The sequence below is a fragment of the Homo sapiens genome, chromosome 12, assembly GCF_000001405.40.
Source record: "Homo sapiens chromosome 12, GRCh38.p14 Primary Assembly".
In the NCBI taxonomy this organism is placed as follows: Eukaryota; Metazoa; Chordata; class Mammalia; order Primates; family Hominidae; genus Homo; species Homo sapiens.
Window position 1 is genome coordinate 128,389,095 of NC_000012.12, and position 20,831 is coordinate 128,409,925.

Sequence of the window (20,831 nt, forward strand, 5' to 3'; positions counted from 1 at the left end):
GGGGTTGGCAGCCTGAGCTCCAAGCGGTGCTAACTCCTTTACTTTGTTCCTACTTCATTCATTCATTCATTCATTCCATACTTAGTAAGCACGCCCAAATTCCAGATACTGATCTGGGCACTGGGGACAAACAAGATAAAGTCCCTCTTTCCTGGGCTGCCCAGTCTAGTAGGAAAAGAGAGACACTAAGCAAAGAAAACAGCAAAAAACAAAGATCATTTTGGAGATAGCAGGAGGAGCCATGAAGACAGTGCAGTGGAGGTGGATGGGGACAGACGGGGACAGATAGGGATGGGGTGAGAGCTGCTTCCGCTGGGACGGTCAGGAAGTAGGCTTCTGTCAGAGCACATCATCTTTCTCCAGAGAGCTCAACACCACCCAACACCGCATGCCTGCATTCTGTTTTCTCCCACCAGAACATAGGTACCATGCTAGCAGGAACTCTGCTTTATTCACAGCCACCCAGAACAGAGCCTGGCACATAGTAGGTGCTCAGCCAATGTGTTGATCATGGAGGGAGCACTTGCATCATGAAAAGCCTCCATGAGGATTTGGGGAAGAGCATCCAAGAAGAGGACATGGCCAGCCCTGTGCCTCTGAGTTGGCATAAACATTCCATGCTGGTCTATGTGGCCAAAGGCAGGGGCACACTGAGTAGGGGGCATTGGATGAATCCAGGTAGACACAGGCCAATTAAGGCCCAGCCCTCACCGCATTAAGAAGCTTAGATTTTATTCAAAGAGAAGCTGCTGAAGGGTTAAGTTTTCTTTTCTGTTTTGTATTGTTTCATTGTGTTTTGTGTGTGGCAAGGTCTTGTTCTGTCACCCATGCTGACGTGCAGTGGCGCAATCATAGCTCACTAAAGCATTGAATTCCTGGGCTCAAGCAATCTTCCCACCCCAGTCTCCTGAGTATCTGGGCTACTGGCATGCCCCACCATGCCAAGCTAATTTTTTCACGGAGATGGGGTCTTGCTCTTTTGCCCAGGCTGATCTCAAATGCATGGGCTCAAGTGATCCTCCCACTCCAGCCTCCCAAAGCGCTGGGATTACAGGTGTGAGCCACCACACCCGGCAGGTTATTCGTTTTCTGGGCTACTGTAATGGAGCGCCACAACTTTCTTGGCTTAAAAATATTAAGAATTGATTACCTTATAGTTCTGGAGGCCAGAAGCCCACCATGGGCCTCAGCGGGCAGAAAGCAAGGTGCTGGCAGGGCTATGTTCCTCCTGGCAGCTCCGGAGGCAAATGCGTTTCCCTGCTTTTTCCAGCTTCTAGAGGTGCCCATGTACCTTGGCTCCTGGCCCCTTCCCTATTCTGCAGAGCTGGCAGCTGTGGGTGGGTCCTGCTCACTTTGCATCCCTGCAGCCTCCTCTGCCACCTCCCTCCTCCACCTCTAAGAACCCCAGGTTACATGGGGAGCACCCAGTCACTCTGGATGATCCTCCTGGCTTACTATCAGCCGACTGGCCACCTGCCTCCACCTGTAGCCGCACCTCCGCCTCCCTCTCCCTGCAAACTTACGTATGCACAAGCTCCACGGATTAGGATGAGGCCCTCTCTAGGAGAGGGGACATTATTCTGTCTACAGGGTTTTAGTTCAGACAGGGACAGAATCTGATTTCTGATGTATAAAGATCCCTCTGTGCTGAATGGGGAAATGGGTCACAGCCTGGGAAGAGCGAAGCCGGGAGCCCAAGAAAAGGCTGTGGCGCTGTCCAGGTGATCTGCACAGGTGGCCTGGACTGAGTGGTGGCCATGGAGAGAAGATACATGGTTGCTTTTAGACACAGGCAGATACAGGGTTGCTTTTAGAATCAGATCATCTTCTAGCTTCCCAGGCTTTTATGTTGAAGCTGTAATTTGAAGAGTTGTGTGCTGTCCTCTTGGTGCATTTTATCAGCTTCCAGTGAGTGGAGGCTGATGCCTTAACGCTGCGGTTCTCAAAGTGGGGTTCCTGGGCCAGCAACATCAGAACTGCCCTGAGAAGTTCTTTGGAAATGCAAATTCTCAAGCCACTCTAATGGAGGGACTCCTGCAGTCACCCTCCCTCCAAGTGGTGGCCATACAGTATGCCACAGTTTGAGAACCACTACGGTAGGATTGGTGCTAACACTTAAATCCTAACTCCACTCTGGCGGCTGGCCAGCAGGATGGCCTTGGAGGAGTGGCCTGAAGGCCAGGAGACCCTTTCTCATCATTTTTCCGACAACTTACTCAGCATCCTTTGCAGGAGTTGAGGGCAGACCTCATGTGAGAGGCTCACTGTGGTGGGATGGAAGAGGCGTCCCTGACTCCCTCCTTTGCACGTGTATGTTAAGTGGGCACATGTATTCCCCTCAGGAAAGGTACCTTCAATATCCATCAGCTTTCCCCGAGGACCCCAGAGCCCAGCAAAAGATTAAGTAGCCCTGGTCTGTGTGCTAGACACGGTGAGGGAACCATCCTAGTTAGCATTTAACGAACACTTTCTGCATATTGGATTCTGTTTTAATTGTTTTATATGCATTGACATAGTTCATCCTTATGAACTATCCATCATGAACCAGCCTTAGGAGGTAGGTATTGTTAGTATCATTGTCCCCATTCCACAGATAGGAAAACTAAGGCACGAAGAATGAACCTCCTTGCTTTAGGTCACACAGATGCCAAGTGGCAGAAACAGGATTCACAAACCTTCAGAGCCTGTGCATTTTGTCCCCACACAGACTTTAGACCAGGGGTCTGGCAAACTAGAACCCTTGGGCCAAACCCCTGCCGTCTGCTTTTATATGGCCTTCGAACTAAGAATAGTCTTTATATTTTTTAATGGTTTCATTTTAAATGGTTACATAAATACTTACATAGCATCCTCAATTTTGCCTCTTGTCATAAAATACCTACTATCCACTGATATCTATGACCTGAACCTCTAATTAAAATTTGCAGTCTCCCCCACCCTCTGCTCTCTCTGTCTCTGTCTCTCTCTCTTTCTCTCTCTCTCTCTCTCTCTCTCTCTCTCTCTCAGAGATGTGTGGATGCAACACAGACCCTTTTCTCTATGGAGACAGGGAGCTCCGTGCTTTGAGATACCCTGGTGGGGATTTCAATAAGCCTCTGCAGCAGCTCCTGGGGGGAGGTGGGTTGTCACTGCCACTTCATTCATCAAGAAAGGCTTGAACCGGTGGAGCCACTTGCCCAGGCAGCCGAGTTTACAAGTGAGGAACTGCACCTTCATCGTGCCTGATGCAAAAGCATATTCCTCCTTCTCAACTGCCTGCCTGGTTTGAAAGAGCTTATATTCCAGTTTCTCAAATAACATTTGAGTGTGAGAGAGCCTGACCCCAGAACGTCATGGAGGAGCACAGTGTGGTTTGAAAGAGCTTCTATTCCAGTTTCTCAAATAAGATTTGAGTGTGAGAGAGCCTGACCCCAGAACGTCATGAAGGAGCAAAGTGTGTAGTCCAGGTGAAGGATGGGGAGGAGACACAGGGAGAAGGAAGGGCCAGTGTTGGCCAAGGGTATCAAAGAAGACTTCCTGGAGGAGGTGGGGTAGCAAAGACAGGCAAACAGGTGATATTCAAACTTTCTTATACAAAAGGATATTATTTCAGGGGTATCCAATCTTTTGGCTTCCCTGGGCCACACTGGAAGAAGAAGAATTGTCTTGGGCCACACATAAAATACACTAACACTAATGATAGCTGATGAGCTAAAAAAAAAAAAAAAAATCACAAAAACATGTCTTAATGTTTTTAAAATGTTTACAAATTTGTCTTGGGCTGCATTCAAAGCCATCCTGGGCCACCTGCGGCCTGCAGGCCGTGGGTTGGAGAAGCTTGATTGATACGTTTCTCTAGCTAAAAGCTGCATGATGGTCTCTAACCTGAGGCATAGATGTATCAAGGTGCACAAACAGTGCGAATCTGCTAGTTACAGAAACCTAAAAATGGGTGGTTCAAACAAAGTTGGGATATTTTTCTTGCAGAACAAAAAGTCCTGAGAGATGCCTATCATGGCATGCAACTTGTCCTAAGCATCATTGCTTTAAAATAGTGCTTTATTGACCCCTACTTGTTCTAGGAAATGACGATCCACAGTCAACCTATAACACTGAACAATCTTCCTCTTTTGAAATATCCTGAAATTGCCCCCCTTGCTCACTTGCAGCTAATCCAGGGCCGTCAAATGTACATGAAGACCAATTGGAAAGTCTCTCCCCACTTTCAGAATTCCCAACTTCATGGGACCCTTGCCAGTCAGACACGTCTCAGGATTTCCTCTTTTACTCTATAAAATAGACTCTCCTTCCTAGAACTCTTGAATCCTTGCTGAAAGGAAATGACAGACAACAGGCTTCACCACCACAAGCTCATGAATTAACAGCCCTTGTTTATTTTGCTGCAGAATCAATTTTGTCTTTGATAGCACCGTGTTTGGCAGGAGGTTATATTCCAATTTCAGTGTTTGGCATATATTAACATAAATATATGTGCGTCCAACATCTCTTAGCTTTCTTCTGTGACAGGAAGGGGTTGCTAGATGCTGGGCTGAAGGAAAGGAGTTTTGTGTTTGGCAGCCTAGGCTGGCATGATGCTTCGAGGTGCCAAGGGGGACCCAGTTCCTGCTGTTATTCCATTCAGTTATCCTCAGCATGAGCTTCTTGCCTCATGGTCACAAAAAGGCTGCTCCATCTCCAGCATCAGATCAGCATTGCAATCAGGCAAAAAAGAAAGGGCGAATGGGCAAAGGTACCTGATGATGACTCAGCCGTGCTCCTTTTAAGGTGCTATCCTTGAAGCTCCACCCAACAACTCCCTTTTGTAGCTCCCGGCCTGGATATTGGCACACAGCCATCTTTAAGTGCATGCGAGGCTGAGATACACACTTCTTTAAAGACGGTGTATTAGTCCGTTTTCACACTGCTGATAAAGGCACACCCAAGACTGGGTAATTTACAAAAGAAAGCAGTTTAAGGCACTCACAGTTCCATGAGGCTGGGGAGGCCTCACAATCGTGGGGGAAGGTGAAAGGCGTGTCTTACATGGCGGCAGACAAAAGAAGAGAGCTTGTGCAAGGAAACTCCACTTTTAAAAACCATCAGATCTCATGAGACTTACTACCATGAGAACACCACAGGAAAGACCTACCCCCATGCTTCAATTATCTCCCGCCAGGTCCCCCCAACAACATATGGAAATTCAAGATGAAATTTGGGTGGAGACACAGCCAAACCACATCAGACAGCCATATGGCATTCCCCAAGAACATACGGATTCCAGACACAAGAAGAAAACTGATCCTGGGAAGCCAACAGCATCCTCTGCTGGGTACTCTCTGGGCTTCTTTACAGGCAGGAAAGGGAACAAACTTTTGTAAGGACTTTTAATAACATGGCTAGGCACAAAAAGGGGGTTGCCAGAGATGTAAAGCAAGCACAACTTGGGTTAACCCATCTGAACTGCTGGGTACTCACAAAGGAAAAAGTCCTTTCCTTCAGCCCAACATCTAGTGACTCCTTCTTGTCACAGAAGAAAACTAAGAGATGTTGGATGCTCGTATATTCATGTTAGGTGCATCACCTTTTCTCTTCTTTGAAGATAGATATTTAAGAATAGCAAAGAACAAGTAGGGAAAAAATAAGAAATTCTACCTTTAAAGTGTGTTGTGCACCTGTCGGAAAACCATACGAGCCATACACGGGATAGTATATATATCTGGTCTCTTTTCAGCCAGCCAAATCGGGTAATAGCAGCTCTGTTGCCAAGGGACACTCTCTTAAAGCAGCATGTTAATTGCACAGCTAATGTGTGAGTACACTCTCCCTTATTTTCCAAAAAAAAAAAAAAATCTAGTAAAGCTAAAACACATGTGACCATCCCAAAGATCTCATCTCCCTTCTACTCCTCTTAGGTAATCACTTTTGTAAGTGTGATTTACTATTTATAATTTTTTTCTAAACATTTATGTATATGTGTGAGTACATATTTACACACAAACACACATATAGACATATATACAATCATAGCGTTGTGTTTCAGTTTCTTGTTATTGTAACATAATTATTATATTAAATTTATTAATATTTTATGGTAATAACAGAATACTAAATCATATTTAATTAAATATATAGTTCATTCATTTTAATATATTAAAATTAATTTAATAGAATATTAAACTATACTATTATATATAACTACTAATATCAATATAGTTGTTTTAACATAATTGTTTTAGCATAAATGATATGTTCCTTATGTGATAATTGTGTAATAATGGTAACTATCTACATAATATCCACTCTCGCCTCCCTCCTTACTTACAGAATACTAAATTTGTTGGAGGTGGCAATGTGCCCAGTTAAAAACACAGATGCTTCTCTACTTATGATGGGGTAACGTGCTGATAAATCCATTGTAAATTGAAAATATTCTAAGTTTGAAAATACATTTAATACACCTAACCTATGAAACATCGCAGCTCAGCCTAGCCTGCCTTAAACGTGTTCAGAACACTTACATTAACCTACACCTGGGCAAAATCATCGAACACAAAGCCTGTTTTATGATAAGGTATTGAATATCTCATGTAATTTGTTGAACGCTGTTCTGAAAGTGAAAAGCAAAATGGTTGCATGAGTATTCAAAGCACAGTTTCTACTGAACGGGCATCACTTTCACACCGTCATAAAGTAGAAAAATCCTACGTTGCAGTATCCTAAGTTGGGGACCAACTGCAATCTCCTGCCTAGACCTCCTTGTGGTGCAATTATGAGCCAGGATGGGAAGAATATATAAACTGATGTTCACTGAGTTACCGGAGTCAATAAAAAAAAAGGTTAAGTAAACAGACTTACCTAATACAGACATTTTGCCCTTAATTTGTTTCTCCTGGAACTCAGATGCAATGGCTGGATGGGTAGCAGCTTTGTCGTGGTCATAGGCATGAAGCCCTTTAGTAGAGTTGGTGGTACAGAAAGATACATGGATGCGGGGTCCTTAGTGAGTTCATGGAGCCGTTGAATAAGCTCTGGGTAGTGTTTCTCTAAAGTTCTGTGGGGGAAAAAACTACAAAGAAAACATAATTATTACAAATACTTGTGGTTATTTGTTTTTACATAATTGACATTGTTCTGTAACTTAGTTTTCACCCAATAACACTTCTTGGAGATCTTTCTATGCCAGTACATGTAGTTCTCCTTTCCAACTGCTTCCTAATAATAGTAAAAAAATAATAGGTAGTTGTAAGTGGGAGTTGAACAATGAGAACACATGGTCACAGGGAGGGGAACATCACAGACTGGGGCCTGTCGTGGGGGTGAGGGGCAGGGGAAGAGAGAGAATTACAAATGCTCGCATGCATTAGACAAATACCTAGTGCACGCGGGGCCTAAAACCTAGATGACGGGTTGATGGGTGCAGCAAACCACCATGGCACATGTATACCTATATAACAAACCTGCACATTCTGCACATGTATCTCAGAACTTAAAGTAAAATAATAATAATAATAATAATAGGTAATGTTTTTGAGGACCTATCATGTGCCAGGCATGACTGAGCACTTTGTATTTAGTAAGTTGTTGAATCTTCAAAATGGTCCCAAGAGGAGTGTGCTATTAAGAAGCTCCTATAGATGGGAACAGAGGCACAGACAGGCTAAGTGAGCACCCACCATCACAGCTAGGAAGTGGCCAGGCTGTGATTGGAGCCCGGTGGGCTGGCCCGGAGCTGCCCTCTCCACAGAGCCCTATCCTCTGTATCTCTTCTCTTTCTTTCTTCACTGCATTCTCTCCTGGGGTTTGCTGTGTTCAGGCAGTTTACTGTGGATAGCCTCTTCTATTATTTCCAATCAGGCGCAAAGCTGCAGTGGACACCTTAGACATGTCTGCCTGTGCCCAGGAGTGAGAGTGACCCTAGGTTAGCCACTGACCAGGGAGCATCTTAGGTCAGCGGATGGCACTCAGAGGCTTCAGTGCCTTCCAATCAGGTGCCCCCACCATACATCAGCAGCTGTGACCCCTGGCAGCTACTCCCCACAGCCTCACTGGCCCCAGGGTGGGGGAGCCTTCTAGTAGTTGGGCTCAGGACATCTCTCTGCCACTCCCCCACGGGTAGAAGGTGGTTTCTCCCCCTTCCTCCAGCATACTGTGTCTCCACCTGTGCCCAGGGGCCATAGGGTTTGCTTAACCTGAAGGCTTTGGTCCCACAGAGGGGAGAGAAAGGTCTGGTTAGGGCTTCGCCGTGTGTCTTCTAACATGGTCCATTCTGTCTCCCTTGTGAGTGCCTTTTTTTGTGGTTTGTGAGTTTGCAAAGGAAGGTGCATCTTTCTGGAGCAATTGCAACGGTCAGGGGCCTTCAGCACCCAGCTGCAGCAGTGTAGCAAGGCAGGCAGCAGTGAAAGGTCATACGAGGGGGTCTATATTCCATAGAGAAACTTACAAACCACCATAAAGCAGAGCAAAAGTGGGTCTGCTTTTTGCTCTTACTGTGGGTTTGCAATTTGAAATAACAAGTTGGTCCCCATGGAGGTGGATTGCACTCGCCCCTCCCCTTGGGACATTGCCTCCTCCAAGGCCTGGGTCCCAATGCTTTTCTCTTCTTCTTCTCTTCTGCGTTCCAACCTTGCACTCCTGCAGCGTGGAGTCCTCCTGCTTCTCTCCTCACATGGCCACCTTCTGCTTCTAAACAATGATTAGGGTGCAAGTCTGCCCTCACCTGTCATGTCATACGCCCATGCTGTCTTCTTCCCATCTGAGCCCTTCCCTATTGCGACTGGCCACCTCCCCTCTGCTCAGCCTCCCACGAGTTTGATAAACACAGTTTAATTGTCTGTGTGCTCCCTACAGAAGCAAGGCAGCATGGGGTACAGACAAGCCTCTTAGTTAATGTTGATGGAGGGAAGACCATTCCTTATCCTATCCCTCTGTTGATTTTTTTCCCCCGATTAACGTTAAGACCGAGATGGATGTCTTGCTGGTGCAATATTAAATAAGAACCACGATAAGCTCAGAGGCCTCATCCATCAGAGCGGATGCTGAGCATCAGTCAGTTAAGAATGACAAGAAGGCATCTCAGCCTGGCTCAAGCCATGGAGGAGAAAAGTACAGGGGCCTCCAGCTTCAGGCACTGCTGGATTCAGGGGCTCCATCTCCTGACCTTTCTTTCCACGATGCTAGCTGTACATACGTGCAAGCTGGCATTCAGCATCTCTAGACTGACCTGGGCATCAGCCAGTGATAGTTCTGCAACCTTTGTGTCTACCAAGGACTGACACTCTCTCTCCGCAGGGAAAAATGGAGCTGGAGTGAGTTACGGATTTGAAATAAAGCCTGGGTCCTTTTGTAGTTCATAAGGGTGAACCTTTGTAGTTCATAAGGTTTTCATCCTCATGTGTGAGACATGTCTCCCTCAGACCTTGTTATGATGTTGGCACGTTGCCCGTCTGATGTGAAAAATAAGAAATGAATAAAATTTTAAAAAATACATAACATAAAGCCTGTGCTCTGAGACAGGATAGCGCAGAAATGGGCACAGGGATCCTGAGTTCAAATTCTGATTTCAGAATTCTTAGCTGTGTGACCTTGGCTGAATTACTCAATCTCTCTGGGCCTCAATCTCTTTATGTGAAAATTAGGGATAATAAAGATACTTCACGCATAGGGATGTTGAAAGTACAAAGAAGTCGATATATGATATGCAGCACCCGGACCAACAGGGTGTTGAGTGATGGTTTTACTGTTGTCCTCCTCCTGTCTTGATAATCCAGGTGTCACAAGGATAAAAGATTTCACCTTCCACTTAACGGATATTTTTCCCCACTGACTTTTCAGAATTCTCCCTTATAATTCCCCATTCCCTCTTGGAAAGCTCAGTTTAAATGTCCTTTTCACACGTTAAAGGCTTTAAAATGAAAGAGAAAATTGCTTTTATCTTCTGGTGTATTCTTTTCTCTTTTTGTTTACTCAACCATCAGGAAAGCATTTTCTACTTTGTCCCCTAAGACTTGTCATTAATATAATCATTCTAAATGCTGGTATAACCAAACAAAACTACAGATGCTAACTAGCAAGCAGATGAAACTCACATGTGGGGGAAAAATGCGGAAGACTCTTTGGTACACACAAGTTTTTAAAAATTATCTGTAATTAGTGGGAAAGAAAATATGTGGACTATATTAAAAATAAGCTCTTTATTTTTGAGGAAAAAGGCCATCATAAAGAACAGGAATGGTGTCCTTTTTATTTATATGAATTGAGATAATTGGGACTCTCAGGGTTAATGTAAGTTTCCATCATAAATAATACCACCATCTGTGATAAATGGATGCCTCTCTCTTTCAATAGATACAGCGAAACATTCTCAAACCATATGCTATGTGAGCAGCAAATGCACATATTTAAATTCTGCTGTAAATGCTTGTATTATACAACTCTAAATCCCTCCAGATTTTTTTTTCTTTTTGGTTTCCATTTCCAAACTGTTTTGGAGGCACAGTAAAAACCATGTTTACATTTTCAATCAAAGAGGTAAACCTGGTCTATAAATCAGATTGTAAAATGCACTGAAGAAACACTAAGAAAGTTCTCCTATGCATGAAACATGACTCGGAAAGACTTCCTCTCTATCAGGGGTCCGCACACTATGGCCTGTGGGTCAAACACAGCCCACCACCAGTTTCTGTGTGGTGGCCTGAAAACTAAGACTTTTTTTTTTTATGTTTGTATGTCTTTAGATAGTTGGAAAAGTGTTGTTTAATAGAGAGGCAGTGTTTTTGACATGTGAAATTCAAATTCTAGTGTTTAAAAGTAAAGTTTTATTAGAACACAGAAAGAGTCATTTGTTTACATTTGTCTCTGGCTGCGTCACAGGAGGGTTGAGGAGTTGCAATGGAGACCATTTGGCCCACGAAGGCTGAACTATCTACTGCCTGGGCCTTTACGGAAAATAGTATGCTGACTCCTTCTTTATATGACTTGCAAAGCAGAGTTACCACAGTTTGGATCAAGAAAGGTGTGTCCTCTTAGAAGCTTTTGGCTGATAGTGAGAGAAAACCCTCGCGCACTGAGGAAGTCCACTGGCTCACATGGCTGGAAGGGCAGCGGCAAGGTGAGATCCAGGCGAGCTTCTCCCGGGCCCCTCACTGGGCCAACCCCTGGGATAAAAGCACAGCCCCTTCCCTCACTGTGCCCACCCGTGGCTGAGCTTGTCTCTGGGCACTCATGCATAGATTCCAGATGGATAACAGTATTTATGGGGAGACTGGCTCACTCATTGGCCCCTGGGGTGAAAGGCGTTTGCTTAAGAGTGAGGGACCTTCTTTCCCAGAAGTCCTAACACACTTCTCCTCATAGGTCCTTGGCCCAGTTTGGCCAGGGGCAGGGCTTTCCCAGCCCAGCACAGTGATCTTTGGGGCTGGATAATTCTGTGGGCGGGCTGTTCTGCACAGTGTAGGATGTTGAACAGCATCCCTGGCCTCTGACTGCCCGCTAGATGCTAACAGGATGCCCCCCAACCCCATTCTTTTGTTTTTTTTTTTTTTTGTTTGCAGGGTGGGGATGGAGTCTCGCTCTGTTGCCCAGGCTGGAGTGCACTGGCACAATCTCGGCTCATTGCACCCTCTGCTTCCCGGGTTCAAGCGATTCTCTTTACTCAGCCTCCTGAGTAGCTGGGCTTACAGGCACGCACCACCATACCTGGCTAATTTTTGCATTTTTTTGTGGAGATGGGGTTTCACCATGTTGGCCAGGCTGGTCTCAAACTCCTGACCTCAAGGGATCCACCGCCTTAGCCTCCCAAAGTGCTGATATTACAGGCTTAAGCCACCGCACCTGCCTGCCCCCCAGCCCCATTCTTGACAACAGAAAAAATCTCCAGACATTGTAAAATGTACCCTTGGGAGCAAAACTGCCTCTGAGAATCACGGGTTTAGGCCTATGTGTAACTGAACCAGGTAATGGGAATGAGCTTGGAATTGCCCTGTTTGATTTAGACCAGGGAATGGCAAACTACAGACCATGGGTCAAATCCAGCCTGTCACCTGTTTTGGTACAGGCTGCAAGCTAAATACGGTATTTACATTTTTAAAGATTATGTAAGTACCTATATAGAATGTTGATTTTTGTCTTCTAGCCTGCAAAAACCTAAGACATTTACTATATGGTCCTTTAAGAAAAAGTTTGCCAACCCCTGGATTAACACCAATCATTCTCAACCCTCACCTTTATGAGCCATGAAACGAAATCTCTGATTTGATAACCTTCATATGTACATAATTAAAAACAAATCAGTATAGTGCTCTGTCATAGGCAGGAGAAACAATTCAAAGTCAAGTAATATTTTAACAGATATATCTAGAAGGCCGAATGAAGTAGTCAGATACTTGCTCCTGTATTTAGAGTCACCATGGGTGTGTCAGCCACAGACGCAGACTGGTATAGCTATGTTGGAGCAAGTTGCATTTCACATGCAGATTGGACATTGTGATGTAATTTTCGGAAAGGATCAACGACTTTTTAGATAAGTTTCATCAAAGTCTGATCTCCACCCCAGTAGTTGCAATTCTGGAACACATACAGTATGTGGAATCATTGCCCTTCTCCCAGTTATTTAGTGGATGTTTAAGATCGGCTCTTTGCTTGGATCACTGTAAGTGGGTTCCTCACCTCTGTGAATGTCCAGTGGGGCAGCGTCATGCAGAATCTGGGCAATTCTTTGTGGTTGTAGAACAGTCTCGTGCTGTGCAGAAAACCTAGCAGAACTGGCTGTGATCTCTACATGCCAGTGGTGTTCCTCCCTCTAGTCATTGTGATAATCAAAATGCCACCCTCCCCATAGATGTTTACATCCCTATCGCCAGAGGCTGCAAATATGTGACCTGCATGGGGAAAGGAACTTTGCAGATGTGATTAAGGTAAGGCTCTTGAGATGGGGGGACTATCCTGGATCATCCAGGTGGCCCTGATGTCATCACAGGGGTCCCTGTAGAGGGAGACAGGAAGTCAGGGGCGAGAGAAGCTGCCGAGATATTGGCTTAGAAGAGAGAGACTCCAAGCCGAGGACTGCAGGTGACCTCCAGAAAATGGAAAAGGGAACAGATTCTTCCCTGAAGCCTCCAGAAGGATCACAACCCTACTGACACTTCAGGGTTTTTTTGTTTGTTTGTTTTAGCTTTTATTTTAAGTTCATGGGTATATGTGAGGGATGTGCAGGTTTGTTACATAGGTAGCCATGAGTCATGTGGGTTTGTTTTATAGATTAGTTCATCACCCAGGTATTAAGCCCAGTATCCATTAGTAACTTTTCCTGATCCTCTCCCTCCTTCCACCCTCCATCCTCCGTTAGGCCCCAGTGTGTGTTGTTTCCCTAGTGACACTTTGATTTTAGACTTCTGACCTCCAGGACTATATAAAAAGAAAAAATACATATGTGTTGTTTTAAATGGCTAAGTTTGTAGTAATTCGTTCCAGCAGCGTAGGAAACTGACACACCGTCCCTTAGAGGAGCACCTGTCCTGGGAGAGCCCCAGCCTGAGCCAATCAGAACCCACCTGCAGACGGACCTCGGTTCCAAGCCACATTGTGGGTGGTCAGCGGGGGAGGGCAGGTGGAGGATGTGGAGGAATCGGCCACGTGGCCACCAGGCAAGCCATTGGCTGAGCTTAACTTGCGGAAACACTGACACCATGCAGTTAAAGCAGCCCATGTTAGACTTGTAACTTCGCCTGGTAAATATTTCCCTCTGTGCCTACCTAGGGCACCCTTCTTGTGCTGATGAAGTCCAAGACTCTGAAGATTTTAGAGCATTCGTCTTTGAAAGGCACAGTTCCTTTGCTGTACTTCTAGGAGTCTGACTGAGTAGCATCTGAGAGTGATTATGGAGCGCTCCCAGAGAAAAGGGGGGAACTATCCCCCCAGGGGCTCAGAGGGGAATATAAGTACCTGCTCTTTTAAAGGAGAGCTTGACGGTTACGAAATTGCAAACCGCGCTATGTAATTTCAGCAAAGGATATTCAGGCTTTGTTCAGAAGAGGCATTGAAATCAAATAATCCATTTATCAAGGTGCCTTTTGTTTCAATAAAAAGGAAACAATGAGCCATATTTAGCAGAGAGAGAGACATTCTGTGTCTGGGGAATGTTAATAAATCACCAATGGAGAGAGGAAAAAATATTCAGGCTTGCTTGTGTTTCAAGTAAGCTGCAGTGACTTGGAAGGAAAATCCAGTCAGGGCTCTCCTTGAGGCATATGGAGAAAGGCAAGTCCTGTTTTGCAGGTGTCTGATATCATATGAGTAAACCAGAGATGTCTGATGCAGGAGACACCTCCAAAGTCCTGAAAAGAGCCCACTTCCCTTAATTTCAGATTTTTCTTTCTCACGTAGACATCACCCAATTTTTTTTTCGCATGTGGATATCACCCTTACCCCCAACATTTCTGTAGTTTTAAAAGCTTGTTACTATAACTGATGAACACATTTGAAATAATGGTAATGATTATGATAATAGCAACAACAATTCCCAATTGTTAAGCATGCTGAGTGCTTAGTTTATTGCTTTAAGTGAGGCGGTCTTATGTGATTCCCATCATCGACATGAGAATTCTGAGGCTCAAGAGTTTAAGGTATTTTCCAAAAGACAAAAACAAAACAAAACAAAATCCTCATCTAGGAAGTTGTGGGACAAGGATTCATTGTTGAACTTCGTGTCACTCCATGAACTCCTAACCACTGTGATACATTTCTTCTTTCTGGGCTGGAGAAGGCTTTGATTAAAGTCCTTCCCCTGTTTCTTCCTATGTATGTAATATCTGACAAACTACCTCAGGCTTTCTATGTGGATCAAGTTAGATCAGGGTTTGTCAACCTCAGTGCTATTGACATTGTAGGCTGGATAATTATTTGTGGTGGGGGCACTGTCTTGTGCATTGTAAGATGTTTAGAACCATCCCTGGCTCCTACCGACTAGATGTCAATAACAGCCCCCTCCCAGTTGTGACAACCAAAAAATGTCTGCAGACGTCACCAAGTGTTTCTCAAGAAAATCACCCTTAACCCTGACTTAGATGCTGTTCTTGAAAGCCCCTTGCACACCCTAAAACAATTCCACTTGTGCCTGTGGATTATTTCAGGGGATGTTATTTTTATTTTTATCCAATTCAAGAGGGAAGCAGGACCTAGTAAAAATACTATATTTGTGGGCATATTTGTATATTTGTGGGCATCCACTGCCTACCCCATTTAGAATAACCCCTGGCTTCATCCCATCTGCCTGGATAGACTTCCCACTCCTCACATGCTGGGATTCTGAGCTTTCCCTCCCCAATCTTTTGGTTATGTTGTTCTTCATCCTAGAATTCTTGCTGTACCCCATTCAATCTCCGCAGGTCCTACCCATCCTTTATGTCCCAGCTTAGAGAACATCAACTGTAAAGAATCTATCTCTGGTCAACATGTCTGAAAGTGAGCGTTGTGATGAAGGCAGGGCATCACGTTAGTGGGAAGGCTCATTCTCCCAGTGTTATCCTGTCTGGGCACTGAGTGACGTGGCCTTGCCATATTCCATTCAACCTCCTCAGGCCCTAACCATCCTTTATGTCCCAGCCCAGAGAACATCAGCTCTAAAGAATCCATCCCTGGTCAACACGTCTGAAAGTGAGCATTGCGATGAAAGCAGTGCATCGTGTTAGTGGAAAGGCTCGTTCTCCCAGTGTTATCCTGTCTGGGCACTGAGTGACGTGGCCATCTCCGGTGTCCACCATCTCAGAATCTGAAAAACTCAATTTCTGACTGCAGCTTTGTGGTAGAGTTCTCCGATGAACAACCGGTGGAGGACACAATATCCCCAACACTGACAGGCAGGTACAGATAAAGAAAATGGATAAACAGGAAGGGAGACAGCAATGAACGTGCTGTCCACATGGAGGCCAGATAGGCAGGTGCAGCTGTCACCTGCTCTCCAGGCTGTCTCCCGTGGCCGTAGGAAACCAGCATTGGACTTTTCCAGGGGTATTGTTTCAGGTCAATAAAAATGACTCAATTATCCTATCTTTCTGGGAGATGTTGGTGCAAGCAGATGAACTGGAGTAAGAGGAAAGACATTTGTCAGAACTCGCAATGCCATGGCAGCCCTGGAATTGTTTCCTTGCAGTCAGGAGATAACGTTTCCGGGAGAAAACACACGGCAAAGGCTGGCAACCACTTATGATTCCTTAATCTGCTACCTCTGGGCTTCCCAAGATGAGAGGTAAGTTTAGGGAGCGTACAGGGTGCTGCAGCCTGTGTGGGTGCAGATGGACCCTGCACAGGTTCGTCGAGGAGTCGTTCATGTGGGCACCTCTGTGGTTGGCTGTTGGAGGTTCCTGGACATGGCGCAAAATCGCCTGTTCAACCATATGAGAAAGTGGGAATTTCCTGCTTAATTATTTGAATTATTCTGAGTCTATCTAAGAGAAAATCTCATTTTGCAGCCGCTGTATCTTCAGCAACCAACACTTGATAATCTCCCTGCTTAACAAAGAAATGGCAAACTATGGCTCAGAGCTATAGACAGGCAGCAAATAGGGGATGTGACCTTGGTTTTTTATTTACAGTGAGATTATTTAAACAGAACTATTCATTTATATTAGTACATTATTTATTACAATTTTAATTTATGAAGTTATCAATTATTAGTAAGCTCCTGGACTGATTAACAGTGCATACATTATCTGGTTCATGTCATGAGATTGAGGGAGGTGTGAAGCTTAGGAAACACCACCCTCAGTTGAAAGCTCTGTGTACAGAGAGCTGCACTAGGCAGTCTTGGGCATGTATGTACTCAAGAAGTTCTTGATAAATTCTCAGCAGCCCCCATGGACAGGTGCTAGTGCATTATTTTACTGGGGAAAGGAATGATTGTTCTTGTCTGCTGCAACAATTGTTAGTTTACTTCTGGGTGACCATATGCTCTAAAAGTATGCAAATGTGAGGCAAAGAAGGTACTTACATGAAGGTGAAGTTTCCTTAACACCTCTGATGCACTGACACTGAATGGCTGCAGAGGGTTGCCATCCCCTGGTACTGGATGTCAGAATGTCCATGGACATTGGCTCCAATTCTTCCTACCACACGTGAGAAGTTCTGCCTTCCAGCAAATGGTGTCTACATTTTCCCTCATTGTACACCTTACTGCTGTGTGAAGTGGCTTCGTCCCCCATCTGGCTTGCTTCATGTTTGGGCTATTGGTCAAACTTGATGCATTCCTCAAGTGTTGAATGAGTCGTCACTGAGTCACATGGTATTCAAGACAGAAGGGTACCCTGCTGGATAAACACACTATCCTTTTTCCCATGGAGCTTCCAGTCTGTTAGGGAAGATGGTCATTAACCAAACATGCACACAAACAAATATAAAATTACAGCTGTGTGAAAAGATATAAAAAAGAGGTGCATGGTGTTTTGGGAGGGGCACTGGACCTAGTGTGGAAGTCAGGGAGGCTTCCTATTAATAGAAGAGGTGAGGTGGATCTGGGAACCGAATGGAAATTAATTAGGCTGAAGGAGTGGCCATGTGTGAGACCCTGGAGATATGAAGGAGCAAGATGTATTTAAACTTCGATAATAAATTTAAAACTCTGGAACAAGGATGTACTAAGATATAATTAAGATATAACCCTACTTGCACCCTTATTACGAGTCAGGCACTTGCTGAACACTTTGTAGGCATCATCTCAATGAACGCTCATGCACTTGGGAGGCAGGGAGTAGAGCAAGGTGAGCCCTGTTGCCAAGTGGACCAGAACATCTAGAACCACACAGCCAGGCATGAGTTTCAGCTACATCACTTACAACCAGGAGATCTTGGGCAACATTACTTACCTTCCCTATTCCTCAATTTCCCCTTCTATAAAAAGTGAGCATCATGATACCCCATAAGATTGTTGTGAAGAGCTAATTGACATTCCACATGGAAAGCATTTAAAAACACACCTAGAACATGGTGATATGGTTTGGCCATGTCCCCACCCAAATCTCATCTCGAATTGTATCTCCCGTAATCCCCACATATCATGGGAGGAAACTGGTGGGAGGTAATTGAATCATCAGGGCAGGTTTTTGTGCTGTTCTCATGATAGTGAATAAGTCTCACAAGATCTAATGGTTTTATAAAGGGCACTTCCCCTGCACACACACTCTTGCCTGCCACCATGTAAGATGTGCCTTTGCTTCTCCTTTACCTTCCACCATGATTGTGAGGCCTCCCCAGCCATGTGGAACTGAGAATCCATTAAACCTCTTTTTCTTTTATAAATTACCCAGTCTCGGGTATTTCTTCATAGCAGTATGAAAGTGGACTAATCATACGGTCAATTCTTGATGACTGCTGGCTGCTCTGTGAGGGATTGTTTCATGATGAAACACCCTGAAATGTAGAGGCTTGATCATGTTCAAGGCCTCCTGAGTCTCAGGACTTCTGATCTTGGCTGGACTTGCTCACTTGTTTGGGGCTGGGCATGGGCTGCCTGATGCAGGATGGCCTCAGCTGGGATCGCACCGCTCGCCTCCACATGGTCTCTTCTCCAGGTTGGCCCAGGCTTGTTCTTCTTCCTACTATCAGGTGTCCAAAAGAGGCAGAGTGGAAATGTGCAAGGCCCCTTGAGACCTGCGCCCAGAAGAGGCACGCTGTCACTTCTTCCATATTTTCTTGGCCAAAGCAAATCACAAGGCAGCCCAGATTCAAAGAGTGGGGAAACTGACTCCACCTCTTGATGGGAGAACTGCAAAGTCTTATGCAAAGGTTGTAGATAAGCGTGTAGATACAGGAGATGGGGTGCCATTTTTTAATTGCTCTTCTATTGTTATTATGCTACATATCTAGATCAACAGGTCTCAATCTCTCTTTCTCTGTCTCTGTCTCTCTCTCCTCTTTATGGAAAGTGAAGCTCCCTTAGCCACTATACAAGGCCTTGCTCCTTTCTTTATGGTCTGTCTCTTCTTAACTCAAGTCAAATCTCTCAGGAGCTGGAAGAATTCAGAATGAGGCTCAACAGGAAGGGATGAGCTAGGCTTCACTTCACTTCATCCCTTCTCACTTTTCCTCATGTGAAGGATAAAGAGTGACCTGTTCAAAGAATGGAAGAACCCTAAGACAGGAGGTGAGACCACAAGCCCACTCCATCTGTATTTTATAGAAAATAAACTCAGCATTTGCTTAAAAGCAAACGGGTTTCCTTTAGACTTTTTTCCAGTTAAGAAAAGGAGAGAAAAGGAATCTTTATGTCTAGGAAGAATGAAGAATGAATGACAAGACAGCTTGTTGACAAATACTTCCTGTTGGTGAATGCTCCCACTGCAGATGGGCCTGGAATCCTGTGCCCCGCCCCTTCACAGAGCCCTTGGCTCACAACCTTCTCCAAGCAGATGAGTCTCTAAGTCCCTACACTTCAAGATTTAAGAGTATTTTTTTGGATTGGGATAAATACCTCAAAATAAAAGCATCAGATGTGGCTTTTGGTTTTTACAAAATATTACAAGTTGCCTAAATAGTCCGTGTTTAAGGACATAGAGCCAGAGCTCTTTCTGGAATGTCATACCTCGGCAGGGCCTTTTGTGCATGTTTTAAGCTGATTCTGAAATTAGGGGGTTAAAATGGAAGCGCCGAGCCATCCCTAAAGAGAGGGAGGCGAATGTGCCCTTGTTGCTGGTGACCCCAGAACAAGGCCTCTGGGCTGAGAACAGGAGAGAATGTTATTTCTTTGAAAAGCCATCTTGACAATCCAAGTCCGTTTGGCTGCAGCACCAAAGGCAGCTTTGATCTGCTCGCCAGTGTCCCTGCCGGGAAAAGGATTAGGGTCCTTCCAGAGGACAGCAGAGCCAGGCTGCCCCATATGCTGGCGGGTTGCACAGGCTGCACTGAGAGGAAGGGACAGCAGGGAAGGCTGGAAAGAAGGAGAGAGAGCAACTCCCGTCTCCTCTCTCAATATACGAATGCAGGCTTGTTTGGGTTTTCTGGGGGTTTTAAAAAACAGAAGCAAGGAGATGGGCTTTCTTGGGTTTTCAAAGTTAGCAATTGCGGCAGTTGAAGTGTCTGGGTCATGAGTGTGTAGCAAGTTCTTAGCCGTGCCCTCATGTAGCATAAGCTCATGGGGGATCTTAGCAAAGAAAATATTCAAATAGCAAGGAGGTTGCTTGTGGTCCTTCTGTTGATGTCAGGGATGGTTCAAATAACCCTGGAAGCAAGGGGTGACATGCTGCACTTTCCTACCTTGGAGTTGAGCCTGTGAGCCCCCAGTATTCAGCAACTTAGCCAGCTGAATCTTGTAAATCAGGAATCTCAAACTCAAAAGCACCTGACAGACAAGCAGGCCGGTCCATGGCGCACAGCGGGCTCAGTGTAGGATGACAGCAACACTGGGGCTGTAAGTCACCTCCTCCCATCATCACCATGGGGGGAGAAATCCCAAATGTTTCCAGTTCCTCCCATCTTCAAAGACAAGCTGGAAACCCAGAGACTCCCCAGTTTTAAAAAATTGAGTTTCACTTTATAAAGATTTTTTTAAAAAACACTGTGGGCCAAGCAAAACCTACCTGCAGGCTGGGTGGAGCCCCAGAGTGAGCAGTCTGCGATGTCGGGTCTCAACAGATGCAGAGCCCAGAGGCATGTAGTTTACACCCCAATCAGTATCGCCACTCGGTGTGCTGAATCTCAGTAGGGGGCCAGAGGGACCCGAGCCTTGGAACTGGGCTCCCACCCAGTGGAGAGAGGGTGGCATGCTTATTCATTCTGCTAACTCATTTTACCTGGAAGAGTTAATAATGAACACTTTCTCCCCGGCTAAGAAAGAAGACGATGATGACAAGATAGTGTCTTTGGTGATC

At 45.1% G+C, this 20,831-nt stretch overlaps 1 protein-coding gene and 1 pseudogene across 3 annotated transcripts in view; both read left to right on the forward strand.

Annotated features, from left to right (window-relative positions):
• TMEM132C (transmembrane protein 132C) overlaps nt 1–20,831 on the forward strand; it is a 440,742-nt gene that overhangs the window by 121,925 nt on the left and 297,986 nt on the right. The gene's annotated exons all lie outside the window — the stretch shown is intronic.
• LOC124903115 (uncharacterized) lies at nt 9,314–9,428 on the forward strand (annotated as a pseudogene).